Source organism: Homo sapiens, chromosome 1 (genome assembly GCF_000001405.40).
Source record: "Homo sapiens chromosome 1, GRCh38.p14 Primary Assembly".
In the NCBI taxonomy this organism is placed as follows: domain Eukaryota; kingdom Metazoa; phylum Chordata; class Mammalia; order Primates; family Hominidae; genus Homo; species Homo sapiens.
Genome location: NC_000001.11, coordinates 74,323,610 through 74,347,793, shown reverse-complemented (window position 1 = coordinate 74,347,793; position 24,184 = coordinate 74,323,610). Strand labels below are relative to the sequence as shown.

At 35.7% G+C, this 24,184-nt stretch overlaps 2 protein-coding genes across 3 annotated transcripts in view; both read right to left on the bottom strand.

Annotated features, from left to right (window-relative positions):
- FPGT-TNNI3K (FPGT-TNNI3K readthrough) overlaps window positions 1-24,184 on the bottom strand; it is a 346,187-nt gene that overhangs the window by 196,635 nt on the left and 125,368 nt on the right. For both annotated transcript variants that reach the window (NM_001112808.3, NM_001199327.2), the window contains exons 8-11: window positions 16,246-16,344; window positions 11,645-11,783; window positions 4,808-4,952; window positions 4,615-4,719 (exon numbers count right to left, since the gene is read on the bottom strand). In NM_001112808.3, coding sequence (NP_001106279.3) covers window positions 4,615-4,719; window positions 4,808-4,952; window positions 11,645-11,783; window positions 16,246-16,344 — 488 coding nt within the window. The remainder of the gene's footprint in view (window positions 1-4,614; window positions 4,720-4,807; window positions 4,953-11,644; window positions 11,784-16,245; window positions 16,345-24,184) is intronic.
- TNNI3K (TNNI3 interacting kinase) overlaps window positions 1-24,184 on the bottom strand; it is a 309,042-nt gene that overhangs the window by 196,635 nt on the left and 88,223 nt on the right. Inside the window, exons 6-9 of the mRNA NM_015978.3 lie at window positions 16,246-16,344; window positions 11,645-11,783; window positions 4,808-4,952; window positions 4,615-4,719 (exon numbers count right to left, since the gene is read on the bottom strand). Coding sequence (NP_057062.1) covers window positions 4,615-4,719; window positions 4,808-4,952; window positions 11,645-11,783; window positions 16,246-16,344 — 488 coding nt within the window. The remainder of the gene's footprint in view (window positions 1-4,614; window positions 4,720-4,807; window positions 4,953-11,644; window positions 11,784-16,245; window positions 16,345-24,184) is intronic.

Here is a 24,184-nt window from a genome sequence, read left to right as displayed (position 1 = left end):
ATTTATGCAGCCAAAAAACACATGAAAAAATGCTCACCATCACTGGCCATCAGAGAGATGCAAATCAAAACCACAATGAGATACCATCTCACACCAGTTAGAATGGCAATCATTAAAATGTCAGGAAACAACAGGTGCTGGAGAGGATGTGGAGAAATAGGAACACTTTTACACTGTTGGTGGGACTGTAAACTAGTTCAACCATTGTGGAAGTCGGCGTGGTAATTCCTCAGGGATCTAGAATTAGCAATACCATTTGACCCAGCCATCCCATTACTGGGTATATACCCAGAGGATTATAAATCATGCTGCTATAAAGACACATGCACACGTATGTTTATTGCGGCACTATTCACAATAGCAAAGACTTGGAACCAACCCAAATGTCCAACAATGATAGACTAGATTAAGAAAACGTGGCACATATACACCATGGAATACTATGCAGCCATAAAAAATGATGAGTTCATGTCCTTTGTAGGGACATGGATGAAGCTGGAAACCATCATTCTCAGCAAAGTATCACAAGGATAAAAAACCAAACACTGCATGTTCTCACTCATAGGTGGGAATTGAACAATGAGAACACATGGACACACGAAGGGGAGCATCACACACCGGAGACTGTTGTGGGGTGGGGGGAGGGGGGAGGGATAGCATTAGGAGATATACGTAATGATAAATGAGGAGTTAATGGGTGCAGCTCAGCAACATGGCACATGTATACATATGTAACAAACCTGCCCGTTGTGCACATGTACCCTAAAACTTAAAGTAGAAAAATAATAATAATAATTAATAAATAAATAAATAGGTATTTAATTTAAAATGGGGTCATTAGGGTGGGCCCCAATTCAATATGACTGACATCCTTATAAGAAGAATCTGGGATTAAGACACAGGTGACATTGACAGAGAGGCAGCCATGTGAAGACACAGCAAGAAGGCAGCCATCTGCAAGCCAAGGGAAGAGGCTGCAGGAGAAGCCAAACCTGTTGACACCTTGATCTTGGACTTCTAGCCTCCAGAATTGTGAGATGATAAATTTCTGTTGCTTAAGCCACCCAGTCTGTGGTATTTCTTTATGACAGTCCTAACAAACAAATGCAGCCCTGATTATGCCAGGCATTCTAGATGCACACATGTATATAAGAGAGCCAAAGAAACAGAGAAGGGAGGAGGTGATGAAAAATAAACAAGCACCATCTACAAAGGCTAAATTAAAATGTGGATATATGGTGAGAAAATCCTAAAGATTCTCACATCTGGAACTTTAAGAAAAGAGCTGTATAAAATTTCCAGTGTTTTTTATCAACTGCTTTCAGGGATATTAGTCATTTTTCATAAAAGGAGATAAGATATAAGAGTTCCCTGCATTTTTAGCTGCAGGACCTCGGAAATATTCTGCAGGACAATCAAATTAGAAATTCAGGAGGGTTCTGAGAGTTTTAGTCAAATCCAGGTCACAGTCTGAAATGATTCCTGGTAAAACCATCTACTGTCTCTCCAAACACTTCTTGACCAGAGGATAAGATCTCAAAGCTTTCATTTTACTGAAGGAGAATTAGCTGTGGACTCAAAATCCAGAATTCTGCCACACACAAACCAGAGGATCTTGGACAAGTTCTTTGACCTCTGTGAGTTTTAGTTTTACCATCTATAAAACTATAATAGACAATACCCTATCAATGTGCCAAATTGTTGCTGAAATTTCAAGTGAATTAATGCTTATAGAATCACATTACAAATTGTAGAGGACCTTTCATTATCAGTTCTTTCCAGGTGTGAGAAAGTATTTGTGGAAAAATTAATAAATTTCAAGATGCAAGGAAATAAGATTTTTATAGACAAATTTTGCACACAGATTTGTTGAAATACTTATCTGAAATTCTGATTTCTACTGGTTACTGGGAAAGCTAAGATGCATTGAGAAAAAGATTTTGTATGAAATTAGCATGCCTAGTAATGACTACTGGATTTAACTTTTTGATTAGTAATTCTCATAAATGTTCTTTTCCTGTAGTTTCCCTCATACCTCTGCTTTTGCTATCACTTGTTAACTAACAATACTCTACATTCAAGTCATGAAGAGATATGAGGTATGTAATAACTGACTGGAAAGAACTAGCACTGGGCAAAGCCCCAACTAAATAATGGCTAAAGGAAGGGCATAGGGACTTGGTTCTAGAAAAAAAGAGGGAGTTCACTGGGTCTTAGCATTTCCTCTTCCTGGGATGGCCTTGCCTAAGCTTGCCTAAGTCATTTTTCTTTCATGAAATATCATTCATTCTTTATCCAATTAAACTGAATATGAAGTATTCTAATGAACCAAAGGCAGAATTCATTGCTGACCCCTCTGCTTCTTTGTAATTTCAATCTTACACTGCTTATCACACTGTAATATGGTATTGGATACACCTCTGTTTACTTTGATACCTTACAATAGGGCTCCTTTAAGGACTGAAAGAATCCTGTCATCTTAATGTCCCCAGTAGCACCAATACAAGGTAGGTCTTTAATGACTTTTTCTTGAATTATTGAGTGAATAAAAAAACTACCATCTCAGTGCAATATATCATATCATCATTAACTATTTGCATTATAAATACGATCCATAACAGTACACATTTAATATTGATTCATTGCTCTTTTTCAAAGAAACTACTTACAGATAATGAGTTCTGAATATATGCACATATATGTGTATATATGTGCATGTGTACACACATATATACATGCATACATACATGCACATATATACATGCACACACGTGTATGCGTGTACATATATATACATATATATTTGTATATGTGTGTGTATACATATGAAAACCACAACAGAAATGTACTGAGTGCTTACTCTGTGCAAAATACTATGTACATAAAAAATTCATATTCAGAGTGAATTCCTCACGTAAAAGGAGTTTCTTTTATAAATATTTGCTTAAAATGAATATAACAAAAACATTAATCTGTTACTCTGAGTAGCCACAGGCTTACACGAAATAAAACAATTGGGTATATACTTTCAACTCACTTTACAAATCTTCTCATATAAACAATCTTTTGGAGGTGACAGTCACCCTCTGATTACAGTTGGTTTTAATTTTAGTGCATGAAGTAGCAAAATGATTTGAAAACTAGCCTGAGGTGTCAGCTGTAACAGGCATGACCTAAACGGAAAGAGAATACCAGCAACCAGTACATATCAGTTCTGCCAACTGTCCCCTGCAGGGACAGATTCCACTGATCCATTTGACTGAAGGTATGATCTAAGGAGTTCTTGCATCTGTTCTGTTACTGAGTGTGTAGAAAACAGACAAAATATTTTGGTACTAGAACATGAAGAAATGTAAAAAGCACAGGATTTAGAATTAGGTAGCCATTTGCAACATTATTTTCTATCCATAAGAAACTTTGGCAAGTTACTTAGCTTTTCTGAGCCTCAGTTTTCTCTTCTGTAAAAGAGAGATAATAAATCCAACTTCATAAAATGTTGTAAGGATTACATGAGATAATGGATGCGAATCATCTGGCATATGGTCACTATTCCATAAATGGTGGTTTTACTTCACCCTTGTTTGACTGAGTCTTTGGTTGACAAGAAAAATCTGGAAATGTATGTGAAATTTGACAGGTTGATGCCTGATGCAGAAGCACAAGCTTAATTTTAGTTTGGTAAGAAATAAAGAGAATCTCCTCATTTTTATTATTCATCAATGCAATACAAAAACATTATGTGAACAACAAATTAGCCTCAAATACAATTTTAGAGGTTACAAACTAATGGAAACATATGTAATGTGTAGGCAAATGGACTAATTTTCAAGATCTACTAAATATAAATTACTATGCTTTTACTGTTTTAGCAAAATAGTTACTCATTAAAAATGAAAGCCTTAGATTTTATAAAACATCCACCTTCCTTTTGGGCATTTTAGGGAACTATAGCTCTGACTTATTAGCAACCTTTTCTTTCTTTTCTTTTTCTCTCTTTTTATTTTGGTTGCAACTTTTCTAATCCCAGCTGTTCCTTCAGTGTGCTTTTCTAGAGCACACCGTAAAGGGCTCTCACGAATTCCTAGAGAAGAGCTGATGCTTTCTTAGGTATCTGAGTGGCCACCCTGACTAGGCTTTTACAGGCTGACAGATGGATGTTTTAGATAGGTAGACACATTTTCACATAAGGTTTAAGTGGAAAGGAAACAAGTGTCACATTTAATGCTGATGAATTCTGGTAATGAGATTCTTGTTGGAGGAGGATTATGGGCACATCCCTTTTTGGCAGCTTTCCATGGAGTGAAGAGGAATAGAAGCAATATGCTTACAGATGTTGATATGCCTGTTGCCTTGGCAACATCAGTCCCTGTCTTTGTGGCTGCTGCCAGGAACACAGCATCTGGCTCCGGCCCCATCTGTTGTACTGACTGCAGCATCTGCCTCCACCTTTTCTTCCATGCATCTAGCTCTGGCTCTTTGTCCTCTGCCCTACCTCTGCTATTGCTCTCTGATTGCAACATCTGCCACTATTTGTTCTTGCTTTATACCCACAACTTCAGGTGCTTTAGAGTGTCAGCTAAGTTTAGTGGCTATTGCACTTAAATATTCTTTTACCTATGAAAAGCTGTTTCACTGAAGATGTTTTCCTTAGTCAGACTTTCTGTTCCTGATATTTGGATGATTTCCTTGGCAACTTCAAATTTGCCATTGTAGCATGCCCTAGATTTGAAGAAAATATCTTGTTAATATTGTAAGCAAGTACATGCAGTATACCTGGAGAACCTATGGAATGCTACATAATACTCACAGGTGTAAGGGGGTATCTCCATAGATATTAACAACATGAGGTTGAACTTCCAAATCACTTTGCAGCAGATACTTAACTATATCATGGTGTCCAAATCGAGAACAGAAATGGAGTGGGACATGGTCTTCATTATCTTGAGCATTCACTGTTATCAGCAAGAAAGAAAAAGATATGTTATCTAGAATTGTTTGTTTCTCAACCTTCATATGTATAGTATCATGGACATTTCTAAGTGCCTGAGTGATTCCTGGAAATTGCCAGTTAATGATAATCATAAAGGAAATTAAGGGCGACCAATTTTTAAAATTTTAATGTTATTCTATTGCCTACTACCACATTAAACAGGTTTCCTTCTAGCTTCCATAAATTCTATGGAACACATCAAATCAAATCTATCTTACACAGTGGAACAGTTCGGGAAACTAATAGCATCCAAAAGGTACACGTGGCCTTATTTCTACAAGGATCACATTTCAAATTGATTGTTTTTCTATCTGAATGATGTTAAGAATTACAGATCCTGGCCACAGCACCATTCCCAGAGATTTGGGTTCAGTAGGTTAGAGTGGGGCCCCACAATCTGTATGTTTACAACACTGTTGTAAACAGCTCTGATGTATATCCTTAGCTGAAAATTGCCATACTACAGTATGCAAAGCATGGTATCATGAAGGGAAAAGCAATTTAGACTTAGGCAGACCTCATTAATTCTTTTACTTTAGACAGGTTATTTAAAATTCAATTCTTCATTCAGTAGTAGACATGTGTCCTTCTCGTTGAAACACCCAGCCTTATAACCTCTTCTCACGTCTGGGTAATTCCGTATACTGCAAGTATTAATGAGAAGCCAAGACCACATTCTATCACAGAAGCAGAAAATGTGCTTTCCAAGATCTGTTTGCAGCTAGGGAACAGAAATAGCAGAGGGTGACCATATGTCCTGGTTTAGGCTTGTTATCCTGGAATAATTCTTAATAATGACACTTTTACTCTCAACAGTTCCCTGGTCTGGATACCTATCTGTAGACTCCTCCAATCAACACATCATATGAGACTCTGACTTCAGAGCTGATGACGTAAAATGCAGGGCCTAATCTATCTTGGCAATGTGGCAGTGGTGGCAGTAGCTCCATCCAATTTCCCATGGTAGCAATTCCAGCCACAGATTCAATGCCCTGCATTGTTGGCATCAGAAGCACAACAGTTTATGTGTGCCTAGCAAGGGTGGCAGTGCATCTTCACAGGACCACATTTGGGCATGATTCTGGATGTTGTTCCTCACTGTGAGAATTTCAAACATGGCTTTCTACTCTGTTCTGAGGAAGAAGATTCTGTGTGCTACATAATATCCTTTAATCTACTCCTTTTATGCCTAAATTAGCAAGAGTTAGTTTCTAATACTTGAAAGTAAAAAAAAAAAAAAACAGAAACAAAAACAAAAAAACTTGACAGATACACTCTCTTTCCTCAACAAGAATCAAGTGATCACTATGTATTAGCCATTAAGCTACTGTTGGAGGTATGGATGTCTTATCAGTAACAATGGATATAATAAGATCATTGTTCCAGGGATGCTGAAAAGAATAAAGAGGATCATGATTGGAAAGCGTCTATCTAGCATGATGCTTGTCCCATACTAGACATTTAATAAATATTACTTAACCTTTTTACTAATGTCCATCTTAGAAATTTGCTGTGTCCAAAGCTAATAACAGATAAATGCAGAGTCTATACTCTCAAATAACCTACAGTCTAGTTAAACAGTCAATAATTACAGTCCTGAAGTAAAAACAACTGAACATCAAACTGCTCAATTCCTAATCTGGCTTTAATAATTTTTAAAACTAAAATAATGGAATCAACTGCTCTAAAGCCATTTGTTTTATTGTTTGATTACTTTGTCAATCTAGACAGGGTCTTAATTAGGCCTTGTAGCTGCTATATTTGTAAACAATCATCCTCATTTTATTGTTCTGCAAGATTTTAAGCCAAAGGGAAATCTTTAACAAAGTCACTGAGTTTCTCCTCCCAAGGCTGTTATTACAAACAAACCTTTGAATCTTTTTTTATTAATGAGCAGCTCAAAAAGACGCCTTTCATTCAGAAGAATGTTGGTTCTTCTGATTATCTCCCTTTTAAAAAAGCTTTTCCTTTGTTCACATGCTGTTCTAAGCCAGGGATAGTCAATGCCACAAGTCAATGCTTGAGAACAGTTAGGGGTCCAGGGCATCTGGAGCGTGACATAAGAATTCTTAAGGTTCAGAAGGAAAAATGCAAAGCAGAATGCAGTGCAATCTTCTATTAATTTATAATTTGCCTTTGGCCATCCTTGGCCCCACCCAGTATCCCTCGCCAATTGAATTAGTAAACTTCAAATTAGGTTATTTACTTGGTGAATTATCCACAGTGGCTGAAACATTATTCCCATCAAAGAAGATGTAAATACCAACTGAAGGAACAAGCCAGGACAAATATGGAATCAGACATAGAATTTATGCGTATACATGTCTGTTTTTGCCTCAGTCATTGTGATGTATTTAGTTTTGTCTTCGACCAATTTGCAAAGACAAAAAAGAAAATATATTATTATATCTTAGAAAAATTGAATGCATGAATAACATTCTATTTGCTCTAACTTAGCATCTTATTGAGAAACATATAAAGGAGAATTTAAAACAAAAAATACATGTAAATCATTATTAGGAAAATATCTAGTTCCTGGTGCTCTGTTTTGAAGAGAGTAGGTAGATAGTGATGTCTTTTGAAAGAAATATTGAATATTGGGTGAATGGGTGCTGTTTCTTCTTTATTTCCGCTTATTGACCCTAAAAATAAAATAAAATTTTCCAGATTGACCAAGCAATGTCAGCAGGTCCTATAAGATCTTTAAAATTACTCCCAGGTCTGTCTTTAATAAGCTTTCAGTAACAGATCTGTGTAATACATCCAACAAGCTATATTTCAAAAAATAAAACACTTCCTATGGCTGGACATGTTCTAGGAATTTTTTGTGGCTTTCTGTAATATCCAGCTCTGTCCAGTTGCAAGGATTGTGTTATTTTAAAGAAATATAGCATTTATGATTAAGATGACAGAAATTATTAATTCTAAATTTAATTTTTTCAATTTTTAACATTATCAAAATGGCATATTTTGAAGGCTGTATCACCATTTTTTTTTCTTATTCAGTCCATCAATATTTTAACCTTTTCAATCTCATTTAGGGGGCATTATATTTCTCCTTTTTCATTACCCTAAGAGATACAAAGAAGCAAAACAGAGACTTAAAACATACCTAACTGAATAGGTCAGCCTCTCAAACATGCTGAACCAAAGAGGCTGCTTTCAGAATTACATTTTGGGTAATTTTGCAACCTGAATTTATTTTCATTTGTGACATTCTGTTACCATGGAAACATACTGTAAATACTGGATTTCAAATTGTACTCTCTTTGGGGTCATTTATTTAATCTTTCTCCTATGTCCATTTACCACAAGCAGGGTCCAGATCTAAAATTAATCATTTGGAGGCTTAGCTACATTTTAGAATAAGTGAACTAACTAATAATAAGTCCTGCACAGTGTCCATTGGCATAGCAGATCTTCTGGTTTATTTTTTGCAATTGGTTGAAGTACAAATGGGACTTAAATATCAAGCGTGTACTAGAAAGAAATAAAAATACTTAAAAATGTGAGTCACGCCGTCTCTTGACTTTATAAAATAATTGAATAAGAGGCATGTAATACTTGCGTGCAACAAAAAGAAAATGTTAAAAATTGTATCATATGATGCTGGTATGTAAGGGGAATATGGTTGTAGTATTACACATTTCAATGCCTTTTGCACTGAAAGAGACATGCTGATCATAAATGACATTCATTTTGACACTACTGAGCTCTGGAGTTGTGCAGAGGAATAAAAAGCTAAGGTTGGCATCAATAATGAAAGGAAAAAGTGATGTAGTTCCTGACCCCTTGGAAGAGTGAGGCAGTTTCAAAAACACGATTATGTGTTTAGTCGTTCACACAGGTGTACCTGTGCCTATTCTAGACTAACAAAATGAAACAGACTGCTTAAACAAGGTCCAAGGAACAGCATTCCTTACATCCTGACAACATAGGTTGTTTATAATAATGCTCTAAAGTAGCTGCCTGAGTTACTGCATACTGGCGTATAGAAAACAATGCAAGCTATGTTTCTTACATTTTACGAAATAAAGTGGCCCTTGTTTACAACTTGGAAACTGGAAATTACCTTAGTCTCTTGCCACGGTTGTCTCTAGGATACTTTGTATATTCCTTATGGGTAGATAAAAAACATTGATTAGCTTTATTAACTAAATATCAATCTGAATTTTGAACCAAGGAACTGGCAGTTCCAGAGATTTGACAACCATGTCCTTTTGGAAATGTGTATTGTTCCCGCTGCAAAGGCCAGCAGTTCTTACAGCTGGGCTTTTAATTAGGTCTCTTGGGGGTCGATGGAAGAATGTTGGATATGCCTGAGAGAATTTAATGGCAAGACGCAACTCTGAGTGAATTTTTGTCAAAAAATAAAGTTTGTGAGGAAAAGCGAAAAAAAGAAATTTTTCAATACCTATAGTAAACTTTCCAAAATTTATTTTATAATTAAGAAAATAAAAATGAAAGGAAATTCTATTCTATCAACTGATTCTGAAGTCCTTCTATGTATTCTAAAGCTTTCTTTTTCCCAAATGGATCACACTCAAACTCTATTAAAAAGTATAGTAATATAATATCAAATATTGGGGATGCTGTGGGAAGCAACTGAAATTCTCATATATTGTTGAAAGATTTTAAAATAGTACAAACATTTTGGAAAACTGTCTAGAAATTTCCTAAAACATTAAACATATGCATTATTACCTTTCGATTTATCAATTCTCTCATATATATATGTGTGTTTATATATATATTCAAGAGAGATGAACATATATGTCCACAAAAAGACGTGAATAAGAATGTTACTGGCAATTGTATTCATAATAGAAAAACACTAGAAATATTAAAATGTCTACTAGGAGAAGAATGGATATGCCAATTATGGTATATTCATGCAATCATAAACAATATAAAAGAACAAACTACGATCCATACAACAACATGGATATATGTCCAAATCATCTTGTTGAGCAAAAGAAGCCAGTCACAAAATTATACAAACTTCAAGAACAGACAAAACTATATATAGCAATAAAAGCCAGAATATTAATTACCTTTGGTGGTAAAGTCTATTTACCTGAGATGAGGTAAGGGAAGGGAAAGATAAGATAAGGGAAAATTTCAGAGTAATTAAATATTCTAAATCTTGATCTGGGTGGTTTTCAATGGATGTATACATACATAAATATTCATCAGGTTATATATTTAAGATTTCAGAATTTGCTAGAAGTAAATAATGTCTCAATTTATAAAAGATTAGTGAACAACAGTGAAGACATCTAATTCATCTAAGAGAACTCTTTACTTTCACTGGAGCTCCTAATAACCATAAAAACCCTAGAAGAAAACCTAGGCATTACCATTCAGGACATAGGCATGGGCAAGGACTTCATGTCTAAAACACCAAAAGCAATGGCAACAAAAGCCAAAATTGACAAATGGGATCTAATTAAACTAAAGAGCTTCTGCACAGCAAAAGAAACTACCATCAGAGTGAACAGGCAACCTACAAAATGGGAGAAAATTTTCGCAACCTACTCATCTGACAAAGGGCTAATATCCAGAATCTACAATGAACTCAAACAAATTTACAAGAAAAAAATAAACAACCCCATCACAAAGTGGGTGAAGGACATGAACAGACACTTCTCAAAAGAAGACATTTATGCAGCCAAAAAACACATGAAAAAATGCTCATCATCACTGGCCATCAGAGAAATGCAAATCAAAACCACAATGAGATACCATCTCACACCAGTTAGAATGGCAATCATTACAAAGTCAGGAAACAACAGGTGCTGGAGAGGATGTGGAGAAATAGGAACACTTTTACACTGTTGGTGGGACTGTAGACTAGTTCAACCATTGTGGAAGTCAGTGTGGCGATTCCTCAGGGATCTAGAACTAGAAATACCACTTGACCCAGCCATCCATTACTGGGTATATACCCAAAGGACTATAAATCATGCTGCTATAAAGACACATGCACACATATGTTTATTGCGGCATTATTCACAATAGCAAAGACTTGGAACCAACCCAAATGTCCAACAATGATAGACTGGATTAAGAAAATGTGGCACATATACACCATGGAATACTATGCAGCCATAAAAAATGATGAGTTCATGTCCTTTGTAGGGACATGGATGAAAATGGAAATCATCATTCTCAGTAAACTATCGCAAGAACAAAAAACCAAACACCACATATTCTCACTCATAGGTGGGAATTGAACAATGAGATCACATGGACACAGGAAGGGGAATATCACACTCTGGGGACTGTTGTGGCATGGGGGGAGGGGGGAGGGATAGCATCGGGAGATATACTTAATGCTAGATGACGAGTTAGTGGGTGCAGCGCACCAGCATGGCACATGTATACATATGTAACTAACCTGCATGTTGTGCACATGTACCCTAAAACTTAAAGTATAATTAAAAATAAAAAAGAATTGAGCTAAAACATGTTAAGAAGGATTCGCATGTAGGCCTGATAAATATATTAAAGATGAATTATGACTTGTGGAGCAAATAAGTACATGACTACAGGATTAGTCAACTTCAAGATTATTCTCTAGTAAGAGAAGTACAAGTAAAAGGTATACATAAAGCAAATGATAGCAAAGGTCTTTTAAATATATAATCTTACCATCTGCTTTGCTGCCTTCTTCCATCAAGAGTTTTGCAATATTCAAGAATCCTTTTGCAGATGCTAGGTGGAGGGGTCTATCTCCAACTTCACCACTTACATTTACATCAGCACCAAATTTCAAAAGAAGGCGAGTTACCTAAAGGATTTATTCATTTGAAATCAGTATAAAAATTCAAACAATAATGCAAAACTTTTGGCAGTATACAAGAACACAACTGGCTTAAACCACAAAAATTTATTGTTATATCACCTAGCAAGAAGTCCAAAACTGGAACAATTCTAGGGTTGATTAATACAACAGCTTAATAACTCAAGTTCTTTCTGTCATTCTGTTCTGCCATGCTCAGCAAGTAGGATAGATCAACTCATGGTAGTAAGAGAGCTGCAGCATCTCCAGCCATTACAAACTGAAGTTCACAGGGTAGAGCAGGAGATGACCTCTACCTTTTGGAACAAGCGACCATTTTTTAAATATAGAAATTCCTTCTTAAAAACTCTCCAGAAACCATCTTCCCATATCTCTTCAGTCTGGACTAGGTCATTTGCAACTTTCTAAACCAATCCCTGGGCAAGGGGAAAGATTTACTGTGAGTGGCTTCAGCTAATTAAGATCTAACACACAGTGGCTGGGGATAGGAGCATCTCTAAGCACAACCTCTAGGAGAGAGGTTGAACAGTGAAATAAAATAAGGAGTCAGCAAGGAAGAAAAAAAATATATGGCCCAAAGTGGTAATAGTTGAAATGATAGCTTTGCCTAAGCAAACAATAGTGCCTGCTACTGACCTTATGTTGTTAACGTGAGGGGTAATATCATATACTGATTAAGAGTTAAGGTGCAGTTTAAGATAGTCCTAGATTCGAATCTAGAATCTGATTTATATCAGCTCTGTGTTCTTGAGAAAAATTAGCTAATTTATCTATACCCAAGTTTTTTCATATGTGCAATGGGAATAATATTAAGACTTAACTCATGGGTTGTCATGAGGATTAGATTAGGAATTTGTTTAAAGTGCATAGCACAATGACTGACATACAGTATTTGTTCTGTAAATGTTATTTTTTATTTTTGTTGGTGAACTGAGACAATGTTGTTTACCATTTCTGTTTCAGAGTTAATGTGGGGCTAGATGAGATGCTAGGGAGCTTTGAAAACGTTTTTTAAAAATCATCTCCACATTTTTTGACCTTGAAAACCTACTTTTGTCATTTGCTCTCTTTAGTATCAACTCTCTTGTCAATTTCATAATGTAGGTCTTCACTTTACATAAATAATCCTCTCTAGAGTCATGCAGAATCTTCTCTGAATGATCTCTTCCAAAGTCTCCTTCTGGCCAGAGCCAGTGGTAGTTGACTTGATTCTTGATTTTCATGGCAGCTTCAGTCATATGGGTCTTTTTCTGGATATGTGAGTGAACTGGAGATAGAAACAGTAGCCCTGGCATCTTCTCCATTTAACTGAGACTCTACATCCATAGGGTCAGAGAGGGATAAAGTAATGAAGCATGTGGGAGTCTTCCTGCGATTGTTTCAGGTAATTTAGGAATTCCTTTGAGTCACTTATATATATACTTAAGAACTTTCCAAATAACTTCTGTAAACTTGATATTGGCTCTCCTGAGAATTTCAAAAGTCACCTCAGTGATACTAAGGTTAAGTTAGGATGCCTCTGAATCCTTAAAATAGCAGTTAGGGTTCAAATAGCAATTGACCCCTCTCAATTGTCTTGACCACTGAAGTGTCAGCACAAAAGTGAATTCAAGCTCTAAAACTATTTTTACTTCCCATGAGTCAGCAAATAACCATGTCTTGAGTATAAATCTCTCAAGAATGTGGTAGACATTTGAGAGAAATTCTAGAGAAAATATTAGCTGGGTGTGATGTGGGGAACTGAGTTCCTATTGAGTACAATAGACAAGAGCAAGGGTTTGGAAATCAGTCTTCTACTTATCAGCTATATTGCTTTGAACAAATTGTTTATAGTTTTGATACTTCAGCTTCTTCATTGCTAAAGTTGGAATAATAATATTTCTACCTCTTGGAGTTGTTGTGAGGATTAAATAAGTCATCGCATGAAAAGCACTCAGAAAAGTGCCTGGCATTCAATAACTGTTAGTAAAAGTGGTAGCCCCAACTTGGAGCATGTGCATTTTATCTCTTTGTTGGCTAATGGGCAGATCAAGACTTAATTCAGGTGAAATCAGAACAGCAGAAGTTTAGTTTCAAGAACCTTGCATGCCTAAGCAGATATTTCCACTTACACAGACTCCATATATTCTGATTATGTGACTTTATAATAGACTGATTTAAACTATCTCTGAAATCGATTGTCTATTAAGGACTATTATTACATACCTAGGAAATATTGCTCTTGGTGCAAAACATCTACTCTTCCACTTAAAAATAAGTAAATAAACAAATGACAAGGAACATGGCACATTAGGTACATTTATATATTGAATGTACCATTCTCCTTGTCAGCATATTTTAGCAAATGACAATAGCCTCCATAAATTACTTATGTGCTGCCTTCACACACAGAAAGTGAGTCCCTTATCATAAAAAGGCCATCCACATTTTAGCATAATTTTATAAGACTGTGACTATATTTTCAGGGAAAGTAAACAAATTTAGTTCTCCACCCAACATGCATACAGGCTCTTTATGTTTCTGCTGGGTGATGAGGTTAATCGTCAAAGAGGATGACTCTACAAATAATATGCATTGTATATATCCTGTCTGTGCCTGAGGTTAGGAAATGATGGGATTTTTCCATTACTTGTGCTTTTGGGCCTGTACTTCTAAAAGTATTTTCAGTGCCCAGCTCTTCATTGCACTCCAGTGCACTCTGAGCAGCACATCAATGAAATAAGCAATCTTCCTACCTATAGGTCACGCTTCACAGGTCTTAGAGTGTCCAGGCATATGCCAGCTAGCAGAGGAATAAAGGCACAATGACTATTGAGCACAGGGACACAAGTAAGTTTGATCTTCAACTTGGAACCCTCAGGTGGTGCTGTGGCATGACCTCCAGGAAGGTAAAAAGGTATAATTCTAACCTACAATTGAATGAGTCTAGAAAGACAAAGTGAGGAAGAGTGAAAATGGAGTATTCAATGAACAGTTATATTCGGTTATCCAGTTACATTTGTATTTCTCTCTGTCTCTCTCTTTTTTTTTTTTTTTTTTTTTGTTATTTTCAGTTCCTTGAGTATTCTCACTGTCAAAGGGCAGTGTTTTAAAGAAACATAGAAATTTTGTCTTTTGATATGTTAAGGTTGAAAATCAGCAGACTTTAGAGTTAGAAAATGTTGCCTTGAATTCTGGCTTCTCCATTTAGGAAAATTGTTTGGACTTGATAATTTGTCTCACTGGTTGAAGAAGAATAAGAAGAGGTACTTTGGTACAGCAAAACAATATAGGCTTTGGGATCAGACAGAACTGAGTACATATTCCAGCTCTTCTATTTATTATTAATAGCGCATGACTCTGGCATGCTACCTCACCTGACTGAGCTTCATGTATACCATTGATAAGAATGGGCAAATAGGCTGGGCATGGTGGCTCACACCTGTAATCCCAGGACTTCAGGAGGCCGAGGCAGGAGGATCACGAGGTCAGGAGATCGAGACCATCCTGGCTAACATGGTGAAACCCCGTCTCTACTAAATATACAAAAAATTAGTCAGGCGTGGTGGCAGGTGCCTGTAGTCTCAGCTACTTGGGAGGCTGAGGCAGGAGAATGGCGTGAACCCAGGAGGCGGAGCTTGCAGTGAGCCGAGATCGAGCCACTGCACTCCAGCCTGGGCGACAGAGCAATACTCCGTCTCACAAAAAAGAAAAAAAAAAAAGGGCAAATAGCCAATTTCAGGGTTGTGGAAAAATTAGAAAAAAAGATAAAGGTTCTATCATAGTGCCTATCCCATAGTATAAGCTCAGTCATGTGGCAATTCATTAATTTCATAAAGTTGTGAAGGTTAAATAAAAATCATGTATTGAACAAAAGTATGTTAAAAACTTTAAAGTTTCTATATATATTATTACAGAAAATAAAATTTTATAAATATGGACCTGTTATAGAATCACATATTTAAAGTAAATTATAAAGCACATTAGTAATTGTTTTTATAGAGCCTTTATGAGTTGTTTTATTGTTATTGCCATTAGCATCATCACAGCTATATTTACTGAGCATTTTCCAAACAATTTATATTGCATCCTAACAGCAACCCTATGAGGTTATAATTAATATCTTTCCCCATTTTATAGGTGAATAAATGAAGATCAGAGGGATTACATAACCTACACCTGGTCAAAACACTAGGAATTTTTCAAATTTAGGCTGACTGATTCCTGAGGCCACACACTTACCAATGTACTTTTCTGCCTCTTTGTGTAATAAGATCATCAGCAAAAATGAGTAACATGACAACCGTAATGCTTATATGGATCTACAAGCTCCTCAAGGATGGGTTGATGAGAATATGGCAAAAATAATTCAAATATATTTTAAATATAAACTCTTTGAAGCTAGGACAATTCAACAAAAGCCTACACTTAAGCAACACCTAACCTTTGGAAATCCTACTGTCAGACTTACCTGTTCATGTCCATAGTACGCTGCAATATGCAATGGAGTGAAAAAAACTGCATCTTGAATATTGACATTAGCTCCATGTTGCAACAGCACATCAGCAGCCTGGACAAGAAAATGATTATGGTTAAGAACTTCAGTTGAGTTATCTGCCTATTAAGATTCAGTTTACAACCACCATGCACAAATCTTCATCAGGAGTTGCCACCCTAAAACACAACTTTCTTCCATCCACCTTATCCAAGACCTCCAGTGTCCTGTTTTTTTATGAAAGATAAAGACTAAATTTCCTTAGTATGACATTCAAGGTCCCTTCAATCTGACAGTGTTTGTTTTAAATGTATTTCTCATTAGTCTCTTTCCTAAACCCAATTGTAGAGTCAAACTGCATCCAGCTTCCTGCTCCTTTGAGGCTTTGTTCACATTATTTCTTCAGCCAGAAATGTCCTTCTGCCTCATATATTCATGCTTTATCTCCAGCTAAAATGCCATCTCCTCCCAGATTTCCTCAATTTCCCTCCCTTCATTGCCATCTGCCTGGCTGAAATTAAATGTTACCTTCTCATAAATCTCATATAACTTTCACTCATATAATTTAGAACATTTTTCTATTTATATACATACCTTACCATCCTTACTAAAGAGAAATTTCTTTAAGGACAAAGTGTATGTCAGATTCATCTTTATACTCTTACTCTAGCATGTGATCATGCAAATAACAATCATACAATAAATATTTGTTGAAGAAATGAATGAACAAATGAAAAACCCTACCAGGAACTGTTGGCCAATTGTCATCATGGAAAGCCATAGATTGGTATTTGTAGGGGAGAAAAAAAATATTTTTTCTATCCATTTTAGGTTTATTGGCTGAGGCCATATAAATTAGACTGACAAAAAGGCAGATAAATAAGAGAAAAACAATCAGGAGTTTATTAACATGTGTATTGCACATAAATGGGACTACTCAGTGATGAGTAACTCCAAGTAGTAGTTAGAACTTGGTCTCATCTATAATCTTAACAAAAATTTACAATAACTTTGTAGAGCAGTAATAAGACAAAGAAAAATAACTTTGAACTTCTACTGGCAACAAATTGGGGGAAGGTAAATATATGGAGGAAACTAATGGAAAATAAAAGTTAGTTTTAGCAAAGTTTCTTATATAGATTCCTCTGGTGACTTCTCTGGGCTGATAAGTGTCTAGAGTTATCTCTTGTGATTAACTTCTATCCTTTCTGGTAGAGAAGACAGAAAGGAATCCTTCATAAATTTATGTCCCTCTTTTAGGCAAATAGAGGGAGAGCAAAGAGTTCCTATATCTGTTTCTTTTCAATTTTCTGTAGCTCAAAATAATCAATACGCCAAAGTAGCCTATTTTGGGGAAGCATATTTTGCTACCTTTCACAACAAACTTGTTAATATTTCCAATTTCTTCTCCTAAATACCTGTCTTCGAGTCTCTCTTTTCTGTTCAACACATTGAAATAATTTCCTTCAAATGTGTTCATTTTCATTGTGGACTTTGCTAATGTACTGTCTATTCTTCAGTTGGTCAAATATTACACATTTTGAAATTTTTTCAAAAGTCTATTAGAAGAGAAAACAGAAAGATGGAATTTAAGAGCTCAAGGGACTTATGTCCTATCACCTCTTCTGTTTATATGAACAAATTGCCGCTTAAGTCATGTTTTGTCAATTGTGTGAATCATAGACCTACAGAACTAGGGAGGGACTGTGGACATTACATATCAAACCCTTACATTTTAAAGATAAAAAAATGGAGAACCAGGAATTAAGAAATTTTTCCAGGTCATAGAGCAAGTCAGTGTCAATAGGAAACTAAATCTTTAGTCTCTTGCCTCAAGCTTTGTTTCTGAGTGCTTCATAGTTTGAAATAGTTAATTTTTAATCACCTATTCATCCATTAAACACAATTTATTGAGCAAATATGAGCCAAAACTATTATTTTACATGCTTACCTCATAATTTATTCACTCGGGGATAGCATTGGAGATGCTAATAGTTGTCATATAAAATCACGAATTTTTATTGAAAAATCCGAAATTTCTGATGGGTCCAAATATAAGCAGGTACATAGGCTTCTATACATTCTCACAACAATTTTCTTTGTTAATACTTGAATATTGCTGACTAATGATCAGGAGAATACACATTGTGTACAGTGAGCTGTTTTTATAATACAAAAATTAAAACCACAATGAGCTTTTATTGAGGGACTATTATGTATCAGGCCCAGAAACAAGTGTATCAGTGGTAATCAAAGTCTACTCTGTTTCATGCCAAAACACAGAAAGAGGTGCTCCTCTCCATTTTAAAGATGAAGAAACTGAACCTCTGGGGAGCAGAAGTGAAATTCAAAACCAGGTCTGTTTGACATCAAATCTTGTTTTTACCAGTCCACTCCTCTGACCTTGATTTTATTAACACTAACCTTTAAGTAAATAAAGTAACTAATTCAATCCCAGATAGGAAGAAGCCATCTGTCAGTAGAGGCTCCATAGATTTAGACTGAAAATGAATGCTGAAGCCATTTATAACAAGAGCTTGGTATCTTTAGGCTTCACATGCCTGGGAATCTCAGGAACCTTTGAAGGAGGCCCCTAGCAATCAAGGTAGATTAAGCTTTTTACAATTCCTCTTATTTTAAATATAGCATAAAGTAGACAGCATGAATTTTTATGCAAAACGGACTTTCAAATGTTAACCTATAGAGCCAATTTCTTAGGCATGCTTCCACAACTTTCATTCTAAAAGATAAGAGTTCTTAGGCTTTAATAAACAGTTTAAAGCCATTTTTTTTCCTCCTAAGTTTGCACTTCTCCAGTTATTCAGAAGGTCAACATTTGGCTGAACATTCATTAATTATGAAGTGTTGGTTTTCTGAGAAAGTGTCAAAATGTAAGTTTTAATGAAACCATACAGAGTCATTTTTGAATTGTAGGCTTTACTTAGTTTGTTTTAAAATTCAAGAAAATATTTAACCATTGAGAGCAATGCATTTTAGAATTATCTGATTTTAGCTAATGAGTAGAATTCATGTACTAATTTGTATGACCTTTGGAGTAATGATGGGGAGAGTATCTCCCAGCATTCTAACGGGAATATGGTATATTGTCCGTCACGTGGACTAAGACAAGTACACTCATACCAACATTTAGGCTTCAATATATACCTATCAAGTTATTTTACTCATGATTCATCTGCTTCAGAACCTGAAAAAGTTGGTAAATCAACTTCACACTCTTTCCACTACATGAAACTCTTGTGAAGTCACAGACTGAATCTATTTTGTTCCCTACTATGGTAGGTAGGTAATAGGCATCCAATAATTGTTAAATTGGATGTATTTCCAGTACAGTTAAAGTACAAATTTGGAAGGTATATATGCCACCAGGCATAAGGTAATATAAACATTAATAATTAGGACTTAATTATATGATAGAATTTTTAAATAATTCAATTCATCAAACATTTATTGATAATTGATTTCAAATTAACCTTCAGCAAATCTCAAGTGTTTGCTATATTCCAAGACCTGTTATTGGAGTTTTAAATATATTATTAACATTTTTGCATGGTATATATTCTGTTATTTTGAATTTTTTTGTGAGACTATATGGTCATGATTTTTTTTCTCAGAAAAAAATAACTAGTAAAATTTTAAACTAGAAACAGATTTTATGACAGCTATCTTAATATACTTTAAGGATATAAATCTTTAAACACTTTAAGGATATAAATTGTATCATACTTAGATTTATATAACTGACATAAATATACATCTTAATATTATTATTAAATATGTGTTTAATATTATTAAATGTATAGAATATATATTTATATAAATATATGATTATATTTAATAATAATAGTACTGATATATAAAAAGACATATCTGACATATAATAATACTATTAATATAATAGTAATATATAATAATACCACTGATATATATATATTAAAAAACTACTACTGAGATATATATTATATATACTCAATATATAAAATACTGAGATATATATATTAAATGCTACTACTGAAATACATATATAAGAATAATACTGAGATATATATATATCTCAGTAGCAGTATTTTATATCTCAGTATTATAAAATATATCTATATAAATATTATTAAATATATATATCAGTAGTATTATTATCAAAGAACTAAGATTTAAATATGGGCTGGTAACTTGGTACTTTTCACTGATGGAAGGATAAGGACTATAAATTGTCTCCCATTAAGTGGTTGTTTTATGAGCACAGAAAATAAGTCAGAGCTCTTTATTTTGATAGTATAACAATTACTGTATGAATTACCCTTTACAATATTTTTATTTACCAGTTGACTCTCAAAAAACATCCAAGTGAAGTTCCTCCAGTTTCTAGCTTGTAATTTAAACACGATTTGCACATTCTGCTTTTTCTTTTTCCTTTTTTTTTTTTTTTTGACACGGAGTCTTGCTCTGTCTCCAGGCTGAAGTGCAGTGGCGCAATCTCGGCTCACTGCAACCTCCACCTCCCAGGTTTAAGCAATTCTCCTGCCTCAGCCTCCTGAGTAGCTGGGACTACAGTTGTGCACCACCACGCCCAGCTAATTTTTGTATTTTTAGTAGAGACAGGTTTTCACTATGTTGGCAAGGATGGTCTAGATTTCATGATCCGCCCACCTTGGCCTCCCAAAGTACTGGGATTACAGGCATGAGCCTGCTTTTTCTTTTTAGAATGTCTTCCCTTCTCTTTCTCTGTTTGCCACACACCCAGTCTCATGACCAAGCTCAGTTCTCATGTTCTCCATGAAAAGCTTTTGAAAATAGGTCATTGTATTAATCACTTATTTTCTGAATGCCTATAAAACTTAGTGACACAATGTAATCTTTCTGGTAATTAACACTGTGGGTAAATCACTCTTTCATAAAATTTTAAACTTATGTTCCAAAGTTGTCTCTATAAAGTGTAAGAAGTTTTGACTCCAGGTAAAAGGATTTTTCACCTGAGGCCCTGAAATTTAATCCTTATAACTAAAATAGCCAGACCTTATTTAAAATCTCAGAAATTCCAAAAGTAATGCCTATAATAACAAAGGGCCTCACTGTTATTTCTTGTTAAATGTTTTTGCTACAGTATAACTTTAACTTATTTGACTTGGTTCCATTTAGCTCCCTCTCTTTTATTTTAAGGAAGTCATTGGGCAGGGTTAAAGGAGAAAAAAGAATGACCGTATAAAGAGGAACCAAATGTCCCATGGAAGAGAAAATAGAATAGGGTAAATTCTAGATGAAATAAAATGGCAATCAATCTCAGTTGAAATTGCCAAACCAAATACAGTGTCTCATACCTAGCAGACTTTCAATAAATATCTACACTTGGAAATTAAATTTTTCTTTGCTTTAAGTGGTATTTTATTTTCTATTATTTCTTTGGATCTTCTTCAAATTCATGCTTATACCAATGTTTTCCTTAAGATTTACAGTTTGCTTAAAGCTACAATTTTCTCTTCTCTATGCCTGTGTCTCACCTTTATTATTGAGATTTATAGAGAGAAGAACAATGAAGCTGTATTGGGATGACACCCATTTCCATTTAGTGGAAAAATCTGCATTAGTAAAGCTTTAGAGGAAAAATTGTTTTTCCAAAGTGATGACTTATCAATTCAAAATGATCCTAAAGACATTAGCATGAAAGTTGATTTAGGATTGATATTTTTTCCAGTTATTTTCAGTTCTGACATTCAATAACCAGTTCTCAATTATGGTCCCCTCCAACTATTGTCCTTCCTCCTAAACTTCGTAGACAATTTTTTAAAGAGTCATCTCCAACTTTCCTCTACCTTTCCTCACCTCCTATTCACTCCTCAGCCCACTACAATCTGTCTTTAGAACTCACCACTCCAGGGATATTTCTCTGGAAAATGACATCAAAGGCCCCCTAATTGCCCATTCTCATGGATGCTTTTTAGCCTGTAGTGGATTCTTATAATTTTACGTTTTCTCAGGATTCATTTTGAATATAAGTTTTCTTATACCACAAGCAGGACTTAGTCACCAGGGACACAGTTTCTAATTCTCTGCCTCTTCCCAGTTCCTCAATGTAGTTGATCCAGATACCTGCCATGTATGACAATCTCCTGGTGACCCTCTCCCTATGGGACAGCTAGACATAATCACCAGGTCCGTCCCACAGACCTGGCTGAGCGATGGATGAAAGGGGAGTACTCAGACACAGGTATGCAGTGTAAGAGCAGCTAGGGGTCTGCAGGGCTCTAGTGGCCAAAGTGCAAGCTGCTTGCTTTTATTCAGTGTAGACATAACTCCAAAAGCCTGGAGCAAACACAGTCTGTGGGTAAGTAACATTTATTGTTCCCCTTTCACAGAAACTCATGCATGCGGATGATCAAAGGTCAGTTCCTGGTCAACATAAATAAACAAGCCTGTTTAAGATTAATTCCCCCACACTTACTTGTACCTACTCCTTGCCCTCTGCCTCAGTGTCAGAGAACAGCTGACTTCAGCTTATTCTTCCCCGAAGGTATGCAGAGCCTTCTGACCTTTCAGAAGGTCTGCTCCTTTCCCTATAGTTTCTCCCACCACTCTGATCGATCTCCTACAATAATCTACTTGGCTTGCTCCTCTGATGCTCACACCTAGCACAACTGAGCAGCAGATAAGCAGCAGTGATCCCTCTCAATCACAGCAAGGCCCCACAGAGCTAGTGCCTGCTTACTCTAAAGCCATTAATTAGAACTTCCCTCAGGAAACCCACTTGTGTAACTGTTGGATCCTTATTGGAACCCAATAAAAGCTTTAGCATAATGGTCTCTCTTTCTCTCTCTTGCTCCCCACGTGCTGGTTGAGTGTATGTGTCCTGAACTGTCCCTGGCCCCACTTCCCACTGGCCCTGTAAGGTGTGCTGCCCTCTTCTTTCTGAGATCTGTAAGTTTATCTTATAAACTCAGGTTTATGGGAGCACAAAGGCACCAAAAAGCACACATGCTTCTTTTTGTCTTATGTGGTTTTATTTGGGACCAGCTAGTAATTCCTTCCCGCCGCAGAAAGTCCTATTGAGCAGATAGCTTTTCAAAGGTATTTCAGTGATCATCATATTGGCAGCATATTTGTAAAAAGGATCATGACTATGTTACTGTTTGCAGTTGACAGCTTCTGTTATTTCATGTGCTTTGTTGAGTTGCCTCCTCTGTATCTCACCTGACTGACATATTGAGCCTGTTTTCTAAGTCAGGGCTCTCCTAAAGAGTGACCCTCCTTGTAGGAAAATACTGGACACAGGTCAGATAAGAGCCACAAGGAGGTCTGTAAATATCAACAAGTTTCCTGTGAGAGAAGCAACTGGTCACAAATTGGACACTTAGGTATTTGGCTATCTGCCAAGATAAAGAAGTAGCTTTATCTTGAAGCCCTGTCAGGGCAGGACTAATATTTATAGTCCTCTTGTGAGGGAGACCTCAAGACCAAATTATGACCTTTTCCTTATTTGACTGTTTATCCAGCATTTGTTACTATTGTCTACTTCTTCCTTAAGATTTTATTCTCCCTTAGATTGCTTGACACCACAATTTTCGAGTTTTCTTTCTACCTCTCTGCCTACTTATTATTATTCCTCCATAGAAATGGCTTTTTCGGTTCATCTCTTAAGTGTTGCTTTTCCTCACTGACATTTGTGTTTCCTTTTGTTCTCCTTTGTTTCCTGTAATTCTTTTGTATTAATTAATACATGTAAAGCACTTAGCACAATGCTTAGTATATAAGAATAAATATTCCAGAAGTGATAGCTATAGATATTTTGCTCTACATATCCTTGATTGATTTCATCTAAGACTACTACTTCTACTCCTGCTACTAGAAACACACACACACAAACACACACACACACGTGTTTTTCTTAGACTTCCTCCAATACTGG